The sequence below is a fragment of the Homo sapiens genome, chromosome 4 (genome assembly GCF_000001405.40).
Source record: "Homo sapiens chromosome 4, GRCh38.p14 Primary Assembly".
Taxonomy (NCBI): Eukaryota; Metazoa; Chordata; class Mammalia; order Primates; family Hominidae; genus Homo; species Homo sapiens.
In genome coordinates, this window is record NC_000004.12 from 71,729,762 (window position 1) to 71,748,278 (window position 18,517).

Below are 18,517 nucleotides of genomic sequence, written 5' to 3' on the forward strand. Positions count from 1 at the left end.
TCCTGCCTCCTCCCTGTTTGTCCAGAACCTGGTGGTTTAGAGGTGGCAGCATTATTTGTTTTATTTATTATTTGATGTGTCAACTCTCCACCAATCATTAAAGTAAGCAAAAATAAATTAAAAAAAAAGAACGCAAACAACTTACAGTGACTTTTCAATGAGAAATCAATGAATGATGTATTGTTCTCATTGCCCTTCTAAGCTTCAAATCCCAGATAGAATTTCAGGAAAGCTGTGTTGCCTGGTGAGATGAAGGAGAAATGACAGATGGCAGCTCCCTGCACAGTACAAGAAGCCTTACAAGGTAATCTGCCCTGGAGCTAACTTAATAGCAGAGAGCACCATTTCATGTTAAAGAGCCTGTGCCAATATTCAAACTGCAGACCTGCCACTGACCAGTTTTCCTCTCAGCTCATCCTCAATGATACCCTTCTGTCTACCTGGGTCATTCATTTCCTAACTTTATTAGTGCATGTGTCTGTCGTCTGTACTAGAGTAGAAGTTCCTTTGATGATAGGGACTGTGCTTTGTAAATGCTGACTAAATGCTCAATAAATGTTTATTTAAAAGGTATATTCTGCAAAACATACCCTGGCTAGATATAATTTTCTTATAAAACTAGGATAAAAGGAAATAGAAATAAAGCCTTTTTAATTTTTTTACCTGATAATTGTGATTGATAGCAAAATACCCTTCAGAATTGTTAGTATATATCCAGCTACCAATTTCAACATCAAGAGAGTATGCATAGAGGTTAAGAATATATAGTGTGCTAGGTGCGGTGGCTGAAGCCTGTAATCCCAGCACTTTGGGAGGTTAGGTGGGAGGATTGCTTGAGACCAGGAATTTGAGAATAGCTTGGGCAACATAGTGGGACCCTGCCTCTACAAAACATAAAAAATTAGCTGAGTGAGGTGGTATGTACCTGTAATCCCAGCTACTAAGGAGGCTGAGTTGGGAGGATTGCTTAAGCCCAGAAGATTGAGGCTGCAGTGAACCATGTTCACTTCACTGGACCCCATCCTGGGCGACAGAGTGAGACCCTATTGATACATATGGGCTGCGCTCCCGGCTAAACCCCACCCTTAAACCTGGAACCAAGGCCCTAAGTGAAAACAGCTGACCCTGTTTTTCTGCCTAAATGTTGCATTTTGGCCTGCCACACCCCTATCCTGTGCCCATAAAAAGATTTCAGCTGGCAGAGCAACACAAGTGGCTGAGCGCTGAGAATACAAGCAGCTGAATGGTGAGCAGAGAAGCAACTGAGCATTGGAAACTACAGATAGATGTGGTTAACTTCAGATGTGCGACTTCGAAGAGGGGCCTGGCCCTTAGCCAGGCTGCAGGGAAAGAACACCTTCTTCCCGCACCATCTTCTTCGAATTCCCCATCCCGCTGAGAGCCACTTCCATTACCCAATAAAATCCCCCGCCTACACTACCCTTCAATCCATTCGTATGACCTGATTCTTCCTGGAGGCCAGACAAGAACCTGGGTGCTGAGAGGGCAGGGGCTGCCACCTGGGCCCTCCGCTGAGTTGGTTGGCACTTGATCATCCCTGGATGGCAGAGCTGAAAAAGCATTGGTTGTAACACACTTGGATGCTGCTGTGGGGCCTGCACAGAGCCTGCTCCTGCCAGACAGGAGTGACTGGCCAGTTTCAGCGTTCATTACCTCCGGTTCCCCCACTCGTTTGCACACTCCCTTTTACGAGGAGTGGCCAGAGGCAGGCTGAGTGAAACGAGCCACTCCAGTTCCTGCCCACAAAGGGGGTCAAGGGAATTATCTCATCTTGCTATCTCAATAAATAAATAATATATATATAAATATTGTATATATATGTAATGTTGCAGGGTCAAACTATCTGGAATTAAATTTTACCAATGAAACTTACTAGCTATTGACCATGGGAGATTATCTGACCATGCTGTGCCTCAACTTCCTCATCCATAATATAAAGATAATAGCAGTACCTATCTCAAGGAGACTACTGAAGATAATCTATATGTGATTATTTTAAAACATCTGCAAATTATTTGATACTATACTTATCAAAAATCGCAGTCTATTTCTCCTCTTGTTGAACTTAAATGGGTCTTTGGATTTCTTTGATTAATTTAATATGGTAGAAAGGAAGTTGCCTGACTTCTGAGGGTCGGCTAAAAAGGATAACTTCTGCCATTGTCTTGTGGGAAACTCACTCTAGGACTCTTCAGCCACCACATGAAAATTCTGGCTGCCCTGAGGCTGCCATGTGGAGAAACCACCTGAAGAGACCACTTAGAGAGAGATGCTCAAGGAGCCCATCTATTCTGGACCCCAGATGTTTGATTTCTTCCAGCCCAACTGCTAAACTACATGAGTAGAAAACCTTTCAAGATGGCCCGGCCCAAGCTGCAGCCACTGTGTGGCTGCAACTGCATGAGAAACTCTGAGCCCACTCAACCCCCAGATTTGTGAGCACAGTTAATGATTGTTATTGTTTTAAGCTGTTTTTTTCTGGGTGGCATGTTACTAAGCAATAGATAAGTGACTCAGTTACAAAGCAGTAAGGGTTGTACTTAAGAAAAGTTCTCAATAAATGCTCTCTATTGTTAAATCAGTCTTTGCTGTTTGCTTGTGTGTGCCCTTATTAGTGTGTCCATCTCACTGAACCTATTCTATCTGTAAATTACATGTAATAGACCTGGGTTATCAGCCTCATGTGATTTTGATGAAGATTAGATGAGAAAATAGATAGGAAAGTCCTTTGAAAAGTAGTAAAGTGTATAAAAAATGAGTATTACTATCTGTTTTGCACATTTTTTCCTTTCCTTAAATTTAGCAGGAGTTTAATGTTGAGTAGACACTCGTACTCCAAAACTAGTGCTATTTTAAGAGATATTTTTTCTCATATTTTTAAACATTCTCAGGAACTAAATGAAAAATTTGGATGGATGATTTGTTCTGTGTGTACAAAGTTGCCAAATTGACATAATTGTTAAAATCTCTGAGAATAAAATTGTTAACTGCTTTTCATGTTGCTCTACAGCTGTAGCACAAAGTAAGCATATCCCAGATGATTTTGTATTAATTTAATTAAGATCTGATTTCAGAATCTATTTTTGCACAGTCATCTGCATTTAAACATGTCATCCACAAGGTGGAAGCAAAGGTTTTTATCTGAAACAGGCATTTCTTTTGAGGCTTTTCATGGTGCAGCATACAACACATGCAAAGATTTATACTGTTTTTTTTTCACTTGTCTCCATTTCACTTTATTCTTTTTTTTTATTATACTTTAAGTTTTAGGGTACATGTGCACAACGTGCAGTTTAGTTACCTATGTATACATGCGCCATGTTGCTGTGCTGCACCCAGTAACTCATTTAACATTAGGTATATCTCTGCTATCCCTCCCCGCTCCCCCCACCCCACAACAGGCCCCGGTGTGTGATGTTCCCCTTCCTGTGTCCATGTGTTCTCATCGTTCAATTCCCACCTATGAGTGAGAACATGCGGTGTTTGGTTTTTTGTCCTTGCAATAGTTTGCTGAGAATGTTGGTTTCCAGCTTCATCCATGTCCCTACAAAGGACATGAACTCATCCTTTTTTATGGCTGTATAGTATTCCATGGTGTGTATGTGCCACATTTTCTTAATCCAGTCTATCTTTGTTGGACATCTGGGTTGGTTCCAAGTCTTTGCTATTGTGAATAGTGCCACAATAAACATACGTGTGCATATGTCTTTATAGCAGCATGGTTTATAATCCTTTGGGTATATTATATACCCAGTAATGGGATGGCTGGGTCAAATGGTATTTCTAGTTCTGGATCCCTGAGGAATTGCCACACTGACTTCCACAAAGATTGAATTATTTTACAATCCCACCAACAGTGCAAAAGTGTTCCTATTTCTCCACATCCTCTCCAGCACCTGTTGTTTCCTGACTTTTTAATGATTGCCATTCTAACTGGTGTGAGATGGTATCTCATTGTGGTTTTGATTTGCATTTCTCTGATGGCCAGTGATGATGAGCATTTTTTCATGTGTCTTTTGGCTGCATAAATGTCTTCTTTTGAGAAGTGTCTGTTCATATCCTTCACCCGCTTTTTGATGGGGTTGTTTGTTTTTTTCTTGTAAATTTGTTGGAGTTCATTAAACTGAATCCAGCAGCACATCAAAAAGCTTATCCACCATGACCAAATGGGCTTCATCCCTGGGATGCAAGTCTGGTTCAACATACGCAAATCAATAAACATAATCCAGCATATGAACAGAACCAATGACCAAAACCATATGATTATCTCAACAGATGCAGAAAAGGCCTTTGACAAAATTCAACAACCCTTCATGCTAAAAACTCTCAATAAATTAGGTATTGATGGGACATATCTCAAAATAATAAGCAGCTATGTATGACAAACCCACAGCCAATATCATACTGAATGGGCAAAAACTGGAAGCATTCCCTTTGAAAACTGGCACAAGACAGGGATGATGCCCTTTCTCTCCAGTCCTATTCAACATAGTATTGGAAGTTCTGGCCAGGGCAATAGGAAGGAGAAGGAAATAAAGGGTATTCAGTTAGGAAAAGAGGAAGTCAAATTGTCCCTGTTTGCAGATGACATGATTGTATATCTAGAAAACCCCATCGTCTCAGCCCAAAATCTCCTTAAGCTGATAAGCAACTTCAGCAAAGTCTCAGGATACAAAATCAATGTACAAAAATCACAAGCATTCTTATACACCAATAACAGACAAACAGAGAGCCAAATCATGAGTGAAGTCCCATTCACAATTGCTTCGAAGAGAATAAAATACCTAGGAATCCAACTTACAAGGGATGTGAAGGACCTCTTCAAGGAGAACTACAAACCACTGCTCAATGAAATAAAAGAGGATACAAACAAATGGAAGAACATTCCATGCTCATGGGTAGGAAGAATCAATATCGTGAAAATGGCCATACTGCCCAAGGTAATTTATAGATTCAATGCCATACCCATCAAGCTACCAATGACTTTCTTCACAGAATTGGAAAAAACTACTTGAAAGTTCATATGGAACCAAAAAAGAGCCCGCATCACCAAGTCAATCCTAAGCCAAAAGAACAAAGCTGGAGGCATCACGCTACCGGCCTTCAAACTATACTACAAGGCTACAGTAACCAAAACAGCATGGTACTGGTACCAAAACAGAGATATAGACCCATGGAACAGAACAGAGCCCTCAGAAATAATGCCGCATATCTACAACCATCTGATCTTTGACAAACCTGAGAAAAACAAGAAATAGGGAAAGGATTCCCTATTTAATAAATGGTGCTGGGAAAACTGACTAGCCATATGTAGAAAGCTGAAACTGGATCCCTTCCTTACACCTTATACAAAAATTAATTCAAGATGGATTAAAGACTTATATGTGAGACCTAAAACCATAAAAACCCTAGAAGAAAACCTAGGCAATACCATTTAGGACATAGGCATGCGCAAGGACTTCATGTCTGAAACAGCAAAAGCAATGGCAACAAAAGCCAAAGTTGACAAATGGGATCTAATTAAACTAAAGAGCTTCTGCACAGCAAAAGAAACTACCATCAGAGTGAACAGGCAACCTACAGAATGGGAGAAAATTTTTGCAATCTACTCATATACTTTTGATATTGAAAAGAATAGACATAGACAGTCAATCCATTGTTAGAAACTTTTTTACTTGAGTAGAAGCATTGTATGAATCCCAAGTGCCTTATCCATGGATGGGCAATAAGGTACTACTATTGTTAATTGCAAACTAGAATTTTCCAGAATGCTTTAGCTATGAAACTAGTAGCCTTGTGGTGGTGGTTGTCATGGAAGAAACAATTAGATGTTTTCTTGGCCTAATAGAGAGAAAAGAATATTTCAGGTCCTGGAAAAAATGGACAAGGATAAAATAGCCTCTGGGAAAGAGAATCTTTTGACCTGATTATCAATGACTGAGATCTGTTTAGTGGGAATAAGAGTTTATTTTATAATTAAGGACAAAAATACTCAAAATGCAGTGCAGACTGAGATAATACAATGTTGGAAATTTACACTTGCTACAGTTTCATTAGTTATGTGGCCAACCTCTTTAATTGGTTAATCTAAAGTGCTTTTCCCTTTCTAATTTGGGTGAAGGCACCAAGCTTCTAAAGCAGTGATTGGCAGGTTTGGTTGCAGGGCATGTTTCACTCAAGATAGCTTAAATCTGAATCTCTGAGGGGGTGCCTGGGCACTGGTATTTTTTCCAGAACTCTCCATATAATTCTAAGATGCAGCTAGGGTTGGGAATCACATTTATAGGTTGGGGAAGGATGAGACCTCTGTGTTGGGGAGAAGTGCACACCAGGGAGACCAGAGATGTAAAAACAACCTTCTAAGCCTTCCTATTTGAGCTATTTATCTCCAAATGGAAATTGGGTAAACTCTCAAGCTGATCAAATTCTTGCTTCATTAGGGCCTATTGCTATTGAATTAAATGACACATTAGAAAGGCCTTTCACTTGTTATGTTTTTAAATTAAAATCATCATAAAAAGAAGCTTTGTTTCTTTAGAACTTCCAGGTGAGATATTAATACTCTAATCCCGTGAAGACCATTTAAGGTGATGGTTCCCAGGTGATATATAAGAACGACTTGTGGGATGATCTCGGAATCCAGAGAAACACAGGAAGTCAATACTGCAACTTGAAAGACTTTAGACCTTATAGATGACAAGAGAAAGTTTGTGAGATAGTTAAATTGTATGTGCCAATTTGTCTAGGCTATGCTAATCATTTGTTTGGTGAAACATTAGTCTGGACATTGCTGGAAAGAGATTTTGCACATGTGATTAACATTTACCATAAGTTGACCTTAAGTAAAGGAGCTAACCATTGATAATGTGATAATCTGAGTGAATGTCATCCAGTTGAAAGCCTTAAGAGCAAAATCAGGTTTTTCCAGAAAAGAAGAATTCAACCTCAACACTGTAACGTAGAAATCCTGCTGGTGGGCTGGGTGTGGTGGCTCATGCCTGTAATCCCAGCACTTTGGGAGGCCACGGCAGGCAGATCATGAGGTCAGGAGTTTGAGACCAGCTTGACCAATATGGTGACACTCCATCTCTATTAAAAATACAAAAAAATTAGCTGGGTGTGGTGGTGCACACCTGTAGTCCCAGCTACTCGGGAGGCTGAGGCAGAAGAATAGCTTGAACCCAGGAGGCAGAGGTTGTAGTGAGCTGAGATTGTGCCACTGCACTCCAACCTGGGTGACAGAGCAAGACTCCGTTTAAAAAAAAAAAAAAAAGAAATCCTGCCTGTGTTTCTAGACTATTTCAGACTTGCCAGCTTCACAACTGCATAAGCAATTTCTTAAAATAAATCTCTTTATCTCCTGCTGTTTCCTTGGAGAATCCTAACTGATAGAACTTGTAAACATCATTCTTAGAAACAAATTTGATATGGTTTGTCTGTGTCCCCACCCAAATCTCATCTTGACTTCCCGTGTGTTGTGGGAGGGACCCAGTGGGAGGTAACTGAATCATGAGGCCAGGTCTTTCCCATGCTGTTCTCATGATAGTGAGTAAGTCTCATGATATCTGAAGGTTATTATAAGGGAGAGTTTTCCCACACAAGCTCTCTTTGCCTGCCGCCATCCATGTAAGATGTGACTTGCTCCTGCTTTCCTTCTGTCATTAATGTGAGGCTTCCCCTACCACACGGAACTGTGAAGTTGCCCAGTCTTGGGTATGTATTGATCAGCAGCATGAAAACAGACTAATACAGTAAATTGGTACCAGTAGGGTGGAGAACCACTGAAAAGATACCCAAATATGTGGAAACAAGTTTGGAACTGGATAACAGGCAGGGGTTGAAACAGTTTGGAGGGCTCAGAAGAAGACAGAAAAATGTTGGAAAGTTTGAAACTTCCTAGAAACTTGTTGAATGGCTTTGACCAGAAGCCTGTCAGCCATATGGACAATAGGGTCCAGGCTGAAGTGGTCTCAAATGGAGATGAGGAACTTGTTGGGAACTGGAGCAAAGATGACTTGTTACGTTTCAGCAAGAGACTGGTGGCATTTTGCCTCTGCCCTAGAGATTTGTGGAACTTTGAACTTGAGAGAGATGATTTAGGGTATCTGGTGGAAGAAATTTCTAAGCAGCAAAGCATTCAAGAGGTGACTTGGGTGCTGCTAAAGGCATTCAGTTTCATAAGGGAAGAAAGCATAAAAGTTCAGGAAATTTGCGGCCTGACAATGTGATAGAAAGAAAAGCCCATTTTCTGAGGAGATATTGAAGCTGGCTGCATAAAATTTGCATAAATAATGAGGAGCCAAATGTTAATCTCTCGAAGACAATGGGGAAAATGTCTCCAGGGCATGTCAGAGGTCTTCATGGCAGCCCCTCCCATCACAGGCCCAGAAGCCTAGGAGAAAATGGTTTCGTGGGCCAGGCCTAGGCTCCATGTGCTGTGTGTTCAGTCTAGGGACTTGGTGCCCTGCATCCCAGCCACTCTAGCCATAACTAAAAGGGGCCAAGGTACAGCTCAGGATGTTGCTTCGGAGGGTGGAAGCCCCAAGCATTGGCAGCTTCCATGTGGTGTTGAGCTTGTAGGTACACAGAAATCAAAAATTGAGATTTGGAAACCTCTGCCTAGATTTCAGAAGATGTATGGAAATACCTGGATGCCAAGGCAAAAGTTTGCTGCAGGGGCAGGGCCCTCATGGAGAACCTCTGCTAGAGCAGTGTGGAAGGGAAATGTGGGGTTGGAGGCCCCACACTGAGTCCTTACTGGGGCACTGCCTAGTGGAGCTGTGAGAAGAGGGCCATGGTCCACCAGACTGCAGAATGCTAGATCCACCGACAGCTTACACCATGCGCCTGGAAAAGCCACAGACACTCAACAGCAGCCTATGAAAGCAGTCAGGAGGGAGTCCATACCCTGCCAAGCCACAGGGCTGAAGCTGCTCAAGACCATGGGAACCCACCTCTTGCATCAGTGTGACCTGGATGTGAGACATGGAGTCAATGGAGATCATTTTGGAGCTTTAAGATTTGACTGCCCCATTGGATTTTGGATTACTGCAGCCCATTTGTTTTGGCCAATGTCTCCCATTTGGAATGGCTGCATTTATTCAATACCTGTACCTGCATTGTTTCTAGGAAATAACTAACTTGCTTTTGATTTTAAAGGCTCATAGGTAGAAGAGACTTGACTTGTCTTGGATGAGACTTTGGACTATGGACTTTTGAGTTAATGCTAAAATGAGTTAACATTTGGGGGACTGTTGGGAAGGCATGATTGGTTTTGAAATGTGAGGACATGAGTTTTGGGAGAGCCCAGGGTTGGAATGATCTGGTTTGGCTCTGTGTCCCCACCTAAATCTCATCTTGAACTCCCACGTGTTGTGGGAGGGACCGGGTGGGAGGTAATTGAACCATGGAGGCAAGTCTTTCCTGTGCTGTTCTCATGATAGTGAGTAAGTCTCACGAGATGTGATGGTTATTATAAGGGAGAATTTTCCTGCACAAGCTCTCTTTGCCTGCTGCCATCCACATAAGATGTGAGTTGCTCCTGTTTGCCTTCTGCCATGATTGTGAGGCCTCCCCAACCATGTGGAACTGAGTTCTCCATTAAACCTCTTTCCTTCGTAAATTGCCCAGTCTTGGGTAGGTCCTGTTCAGCAGTGTGAAAACAGACTAATACAAAATTACAGCAAGTTTGTTTGTTTGTTTGTTTTCAATCATGGTGAGGACCCAGGTTTTCAGATGAAGGTGATATGTAAGGTGTAAAAAATTGAGGACTTCTTATACAAAGGAAATTATCTAGTGAGATCAGCTATGGTTGACAGTAAATTGATATTCAAAAGCATCTCTTTAATGTTGAGCAGCACTTAGGAAGCAGGCCTAAAATTTGGCAATATATTATCAAAAGAGCTCTGCTTCCTAGGAAATGGAACAAATGACATCATTATGCATATTAGATCTAACATTAAAACTCTTTTACTAAAATTACAATATTTCTGTCAGCGATTCTTAATATAAGAAAAAATGGTGAAATGTGTTTAGAGTGTGCTGGAAAATATATCCATGGGAACTATGAAAACCCTACTTCAGTGAATTGTATATTTATTGACTACTTTGTGACAAAAAAACACCCAATTCCATCAGGTCAAGCATGAAAATACTTTACCAAAATGGACCAGTTTGCAGTAGTTAATGAATGATTTATAAATGTAATTTTTCAAATAAGAAAAGAATTTTCCAAAATTAATTTTATAGAGAATAATTCTGGGAAATAGAAAAAGGAAAAGGGGTTAGCCCTTAAATAAATCTGGAAGCACTGAATTACATACAGCACACTGGGACTCTTCAAAGAAGAGATATACTATACTGATGGTAAAACTAATTTGATCAGGTAACACATTCATCAGGTATGTCCATCCACCTTCCATGGAATGCTGCAATTGAAAACTAAGGCCTTGTTTTGTTATTTGCTAACTCTGTGACTTAGAGCCACTGATTCACATTTTTGGAGTCTCAGTCTCCTTGTGTCTTATCAATGCAATGATACCTACTTCTCAGAGTTGTTTGAAGCTTCAGTAAGGTAATTTTTGAAAGAGAATTTTTTAAAAATCTAAAATGCTGCCTAAATATTAGCAGATAGTTTGTTGCTTTTTGACTTTCTGTCATCCAAAGAACTTCTCTGTTTGAGGTTTATTTCTCATTTTGAAATCTTTGTGAAAGGCAGGGCTGCACCTTCTATGTAGAAGCTGCAAGCGGCAGGCATTTTATTTCCCAGTTCCTGGCAGCTAAAGGCATGGTCACTTGACCTTGGCTCACTTAATGAAATCCTCCTTCATGGGACTTAGAATTTTGAGGAGTGACAGGTATGTTAGTTAATTTGACTCAAATTATATATGCCATAAAATTGTTTCATCTATTGTATAACTCTACATCTAACATGAGGTGAGTTCAAATTCCCTGATGCAATTAACTCTACATATAGAAGGTTGCATGGTTTTTAGTAGTTTCAGAGAGGTATTTACTCCGAACATATGAACTTTCCTTTAAAGCAGAATAGAGAGAACACTTTCATTTTCCCTGGGCAAAGAGAGCACGTAGAATGTTGTATATGTTTTTATATGTGGTATATTGAATTAAGCAGAAAAATCATGTTTTTAGAACTTTGTCTCTATAAATTTCTCTCAGGAATTTTTTGTAAAAGTAAACTTGTCCAAGCTACAAAGATTTTCTTTTTGCAAGACAGATACTACTTAATTAATTCCAAGCAACTTGTGGCTGGAAGCAAGAAGGTAGTTTCAGGAGTATTTTTGTTACTGTTGTTGGTTTTTGGCTGTTAGTTTTTAAAAAGTGAGATATTATAGGCTTTATAGTGGAAGGCTGTCTAACTTTTTCTTTTCTTTTCTTTTTTTGAGACAGAGTCTTGCTCTGTTGCCTAGGCTGGCGTGCAGTAGCGTGATCTCCCTCACTATAACCTCCACCTCCCAGGTTCAAGCAATTATCCTGCCTCAGCCTCCCGAGTAGCTGGAACTACAGGCACATGCCACCACATCCGGCTAATTTTTGTATTTTTAGTAGAGACAGGGTTTCACCATATTGGCCAGGCTGGTCTCGAACTCCTGATCTTGTGATCTGCCCGCCTTGGCCTCCCAAAGTGCTGGGGTTACAGGCGTGAGACTCTGTGCCCAGCCTAACTTTTTCTTAATGGTACCTACTAAGCCTGAGAATCAATCAGGGAATGGAGTTTAGCATACTGGGAATTGTAAAGTGGATGCTTAATGTTGAGTCTTTTAGAAGGAAACAGCAGAGATCTAGACAAAAACAGGCCTTATGAGATTGCCTACTGTAGCATTTTTGTGAAAGACACAGGAATAGTTCTGAAGATCAACATTGTGAAGAGCCACATAATTCTCAGTCATATTTATGGTTTGCATTATATTTCAATTTATTTTGATAGCAAATCATCATACTTGTCATTGTATGAAGATATTGTAGCTAGAAAAAGTAGAAAGTATCCTAGTTGTCTTCCCAGAAGCTCAGTGGTTTTGCTTAGGTTAGGTCATCAGAGATCATTCCCCTGGGTGGCTCCAACTCTGGTCTATGAGAATAATGAAATGAATTTTATGTTAGAAAAACAGAGCTAATGGGCAACAACCATAATATTGCTCAACAGACGCATATAAACTCATGCTATTTTAATATTTATGCCAAAAATGACTCTGTCTAGGATGACCCATATATCCACTATGGCCCATCTCATAGGTCCAGAATAAGAAAAAAATGTTAAGACAGTCCAAATACCAGTAGTGATGGCTTTATATGCCATACACCAGGGTACATTGTACATTGTGCAGTGTTTTTTTAATTATATTTTTAACTGGTGATGAATGTGACTTTTTGCTCTATGGTAATAACAATTATGGCCAAGGCAAAACTGTCAACCAGTGGCATAATGAGGCCCCCAATCATCATGGAATTGAGACAATAGTTGAGTAGTTTTAGCAAAACATAAGTGTGAATTTTTATCAAGTCATCTTCTACTTTGTATTAGGGCCAATTCGTCTCCCTTAATTTTTTCCCTCTTCCAAGACAATATAATATAGTTATGTCACAGTTCTATTTGCACGGTGTAAAAAATTCCATGTTTCATTGTCTTCAACGAGTTTATGCTTTGGAGTGAGGATGCAATAAGGGACACGAATCTGTTCCCTCACAGCCTCAGTTCCTATGTTTCTCTCACAGTGTGAGCAACTCTCTGTGCTGGGTGTGATTCTGGTATCTAAAATATTTTCACCCAATCTGATTCTACACTGTGAGCCAATTCATTTATGTTTTTGGCAACCCAGAGGGACTACTACTTGCTTCCAAAGCTAACAATAAAAAATACCTGGCTTTGTGAGATAATTAAGAGACAGAGATTTGCTGGGCATGGTGGCTCACGCCTGTAATCCCAGCACTTTGGGAGGCCGAGGTGGGTGGATCACAAGGTCAGAAGATGGAGACCATCCTGGCTAACATGGTGAAACCCCGTCTCTACTAAAAATACAAAAAATTAGCCAGGCGTGGTGGCGGGCAACTGTAGTCCCAGCTCCTCGGGTGGCTGAGGCAGGAGAATGGTGTGAACCTGGGAGGCGGAGCTTGCGGTGAGCCCAGATTGTGCCACTGCACTCCAGACTGGGCGACAGAGTGAGATTCCGTCTTGGTGTGGGCAGGGTGGGGGGTAAGAGACAGAGATTCTGTCTCCAAAAGTGCATGCAAGTGTGGCCACAATCAATTTGGAGCTTGAAGGCTTGAAGAAAAAGATTGATCAAGGAGACCAATAACTGTCAAGATGAGAACTGAAGTTTTTAATAAGACTCTAATTGAGAGTGAAATAGCGTGAAACTGTTGACTGGAAGACATGAATTGTAGGTATTACTAGGGATCGGAATACCTTGAGACAAAAGGCTTCAACTTCTATGAGTGAGTCAAATCTCTAACTAGAGATGGGTAGGCTTAAATGGAAATGAAACACATAGCCAACCAAAGTTGGCTTAATGGTTTTAGGAACTGCTTCACTCTAAACAATGTGCCACTTCTGCAGATCACCTGTTACAACAAGGGAAAAATCATTGAAGAAAATGGATATTTTCTACTTGAATAATTTAATATATGATGAAAAGACTGATCTATCTGAGGGAAAGTACTCAGCACTTACTCTGAAATCATTACGTTAAGACCTGGATTTAGAGCAACTCATGACTAGGATTGTGTTATTTTGGGGGCAATGCTGCTGATAGTTGGATGACTTCATAATTGTCCAATACAACTACAAAATTCTCCCTGGAACCCAGGAACTGCAATGAGTTGGTTGTGTTCTGGAAACCTAAGATAAGTGGTAAAGTTGTGGTCTCATTATTTCTGGATATCAAGTACCTCAGACCTATAACTTTGTGAACAAGGTATAATTTGCTTTTTCAAAGCCATGTAACTATTCCTGAAATAATTGAACATTGGTAGGCCTTCATCATTGCAGAATGCAATGGTGATAAACAAGCAGTAGATAAAATTGAGCTCAAAACACTCAATGCATGTTACCAAAATCCATGGAAGGGATATGTGAATAATTTTAGGAAGGAATATGTGAATATGTGAGTAATCCATCCAGATGATCAAAATGTATTTGGGTAGCCAAACAATTTAGTGGTACAGAAATCAAAGGATTAATTAAAGGCCAGAGAAAAATGTAGACTAACACAGGAGAAATGATAAGAAATTTCATTTCTTCATCTTATCAGATGAAGATAATGACCATGAACCAGAAGAATCAGTATATTAGAATCTTCATTAGCTTGTCACTGACAAACCAAGTTTATCTCTTGATTGAGTTAGCATCAAAAATACTTCTGGGCCAGGCACAGTGGCTCATGCCTGTAATCCCAGCACTTCAGGAGGCCGAGGCGGGCGGATCACGAGGTCAGGAGATAGAGGCCATCCTGGCTAACACAGTGAAACCCCATCTCTACTAAAAATACAAAAAAAAAAAAAAAAACCCAAATTAGCTGGGCGTGGTGGCGGGCGCCTGTAGCCCCAGCTCCTCGGGAGGCTGAGGCAGGAGAATGGCGTGAACCCAGGAGGCGGTGCTTGCAGCGAGCCGAGATCGCGCCACTGCACTCCAGCCTGGGAGACAGAGCGAGACTCCATCTCAAAAAAAAAAAAAAAAAAAAAGATACTTCTGACATTTGTTCTGAAAAGAAATCTCTTGAAATCCATCAAATTATTACTTCCTCCTTACTTACCTTAGGATATCTTCTCCTATTTTAATTAGTTTTCCCAAAGCCTAAAAACATACAACACTAAGGAAATGCACTCTGAGTTCTGAATAATAACACAGTCCAGTGAAAAACATATTCAAAATCAAAGTTATCATATAGCTTTCCAAATAACCCTGACTCTTAATTAAAGCTTAAGAAATCTTGAAGGATGAGAGGTGAGGTCACTGTTGCATATTGGGATTTTAACTCTTTGGAGATTATTATATGGGGATTGAGATAAAGGAAAGATTCATTCAAATGGGGGGAGGATGTAATAATTTAGCAGCAACAGAGATCAGAAACTATTTTAACTCTAGAATATTTACACTTCAAATAACTTGCATTTTGATTTTTATTCCTTGGAAAATTATTTAGAGAACTTACTTTATCGTTGGGACATGATATTTGTATACCAGAGCACAAAAATATATGGGCAGGAAAACTTTTTAGTTTAGATTCAACCAGTAGTAGTAGGAGCATCAGTGCAACAACTTTGCTAGTATTACTGCTAATATTCATTTTTACTGCTTTTTAAATATTTGATATACATCACCTCAATCATTGTAACAACACTGTGAGGGAGATATGGAAATTTTCATTTTACATGAAAGGAAACTCATCTTTAGACAGGATAGATAACTTGCTCAAATTCACAGACAGATAGTTAGAGTGGGGATTCTAATTCAGGTTGGGTGATTTCAAATATAAGTTTTCTTGACCATCCCCCTTGTACTGGTTCTCAGACTGTTAATTTTCTTTTTTACAGCTTCAGAGGATTTAAATAATAGTTGAAAAGCTGAATATGGTGAAATGATTTAATGTTATTAATGAATGGATTGGAAGGCTTTTGTTTCCACATTATTTTGGGCAGAGTTGTCAGTAAGTCAGCAAAATAAACGTTGACATTATTGAAAAGCCTCAGTTCAGCTAAGAACTGAGATCCAAACAAGTTTGCATCAAAAGTCTCAGGTGTAATTTCTTTAGCATAAATACAATTGAATCTGGAGAGAAAATATTGTTGTTGAAATGTGCAGAGTTCGGCGGGGGTGCTCTTCAGTTTAAGATGTGAACTTACGTTGGAATAAACTATTTTATGTTCTTAATATCTTCATCTGGCATTTTTTAATAGGTGAAAATATAGTGACTGAAAAAAGCAAGTAATAATATTTCAACAGTATTGTTTTCATTTGAATAAGAATGTCCCTTTCCTCCTAAGGTCCTTGCTGTGTTATTTTTAAGACTTGATGAGCCCTGTCTTTAAACTCAGAGTTCTTCCTATTGAAGTGCATCAGAATCCTTTAAATGTTCTTTACGGTATCATTATGTTACATGTGAGATTATGATGGATGAAGCACAAGGCAGGGGACCAGTAAACCTGGATTCTAGTCTTACATATATCAGAAATTGGCTGCTCTTGTATAAGTGTAAGCTCTTTAACTTTTCTCGGTGCTTAATATTCTCATCTGTAAAATGAGTTTGAACAGATAAGAATAAATTTATTAAAGTCTCCTTCCCATTCTTTGATATTTAAAATACATCCTACAATGCTGGATCCGTTGGTCCTGCATTTATAAAATATACTTACCAAAGTTAATAAACATGCTTCAGGACTACAGGATATTCTTCAATTCAGCATCAATCTGATAATGAAAAAAGAATGTTATATAACTTATGAAGTATTTCATTTGTAGGCTACTAGATCATGCAGAAGGTATACAAAATCTTGAAACCTTGGTTAGGGGAGCGGATTCTTGCCAAGATGCAATGTTACATTGCAGTTTTTTATTAGCCACCCTTTGCATTTATTTAGCTTTACATCATCTCTGCCCTTGAAGGGCTTAGAGTCTGCTGGGAAAAGTAGACAAGAAAAAATGGCAGTAGAGTTTAATAAGTGCTAATTATTGGGTGCAAACAGAATGTTGTGGGACAACAGAGAAGTTTGAGTGCCAGGGAAGAATTCTCAGCGGAGCAGATGTCTTCTAACTTGAACTCTAAAGCCTGATGAATGATTCAGCCACGGCAAGCCTGATGAGAAATAGGGCAAGCGGGTGGAGTCATTATGTGCAAAGGCCTTGAGGTAAAAGCAAGTTTAATGTGTTTGGAAAACTGCAAGTAGTTCAGGAGAACCCAAGCAGGAGGCACAACAAGTCATGATAGCAAGTCACTACTTGGAGAAGAAATCAAGGTCCAAAATACCTCTATTTTGTAAAAAAAAAAAAAAAAAAAAAAACTACTTTAATTTGGAGGCAATGAGAGCTATTAGAGAAGAGTATTAACCATTTTTGTGTTTTAAAAAGGTTGATTTGACCTCAGTATAGAGATGGGATTGGAATGTGAAGCACTGTGGGCAGACTGGAGGTGGGAGGAGACCAATGGACAGGCTATAAACCAGGTGAAAGATTGCCTGAAACTAAATACCAAGAATGTAGAAGAATGTGGGTGGGAGATTGAGAGATGTTGCAGAATTAGAATTGATGGGATTTGGAATTTTATTTGGTGCATATGGAAAAAGAGAAGGAGAAATAAAAAGAGTCACTAAATTTTCATCGTGGGGCAATGGGTAAATGATGATAATATTCATAAACTCAAAAAACATAAGAGCAGTTTATAGGAAAAATATTTTGTCCATGTTGATTTTCAATTTCTTATGGGACAAGATATTGGGGGAGAAGAGAGTCCTAGACAGTTGGATTAAAAATCCTAATGCTGAGGGAGAGATCTTGGTTGGAGGTAGAGATTTGGAGATTAAAAGCATAAGCATTGATGAAAACAGTTGAGAAAATGTAGTGCCATGGAAATGAAGAACAAGGAAAAAACTCTGGAAACAAATTTAAGAGACAGGTAAAGGAAGAGGACAATATGAAATAGAACAAGAAGAGAGGAATCATAGAAAGACAAAAAGTAGAAAATAATACTACAGGTGCTAAGTAAATTGTTTCAAGAAGGAAGGTATACTTATGGGTATCAACTGTTTTGTGGAGAAATCTGGTAAGAATTGAAAAATGTTTATTAGATTTAACAAGAAGGATATTGTTGGCGTGCCTTTGTTGACAGTCATATGGTACCATCAAAAGCCAGACTGCAAAGGGTTGAGGAATTAATAAGAGGTGTGAGGAGTTGGAGTATATGGTATTCTTGCAAGAATCTTGGCTGTAAGGGAGGAGAAAGAAATATAGCTAGAGAGGTGTCTAAAGTGCCTTATTTATTATTTTTTGAGATAAGAAGAAGAGTAACTTTAATACAAATTAGACAGAGCTGGCAAAAATGTTGACACAAAAGAAGAGAGTATGTCTAATGGAGGAAGAGTCCAAGGAAGTGAGATGGATAAAATTCACAGCGATATTACCAACCTGGTATCATTTTTGCTACTTAAAAATAATTTTGGATTTTCAGTCAATAGTCTTCTATCAATAGTTTGCTTTTGTCATGACTAGCTAAGTTAGGGCTGACGTCTATGACAAGGACATTGAGGGAGAGTAACAGACTAATACAGAATAAATTTAGATTTTTCTAACATCATATAACCTCTGTAAGTTTCATTCAACCCATCTGTAAAAGGGGGAATTAAAATATTAATTAACATCTAGAATTGTTTTGGGTTATTCTATAAATACATACATGCCAGGCTATTAATATTTCTGCTTAACAAATAGCAATGGCTTAATCAATGATAGCTATGACACTGAAGATTATAAAATCAAGTTATACTGAGA

At 39.3% G+C, this 18,517-nt stretch overlaps 1 protein-coding gene across 4 annotated transcripts in view; it reads right to left on the reverse strand.

Annotated features, from left to right (window-relative positions):
• The window catches only part of GC (GC vitamin D binding protein), a 63,828-nt gene continuing 57,242 nt past the window's right edge, over positions 11,932-18,517 (reverse strand). For 3 of the 4 annotated variants that reach the window (NM_001204306.1, NM_001204307.1, NM_001440458.1), the window contains 2 exons: positions 16,390-16,444; positions 11,932-12,109 (listed from right to left, as the gene is read on the reverse strand). In NM_001204306.1, coding sequence (NP_001191235.1) covers positions 16,415-16,444 — 30 coding nt within the window. In that variant the 3' untranslated portion in view covers positions 11,932-12,109; positions 16,390-16,414. The remainder of the gene's footprint in view (positions 12,110-16,389; positions 16,445-18,517) is intronic. The other variant, NM_000583.4, reaches the window with a different exon arrangement.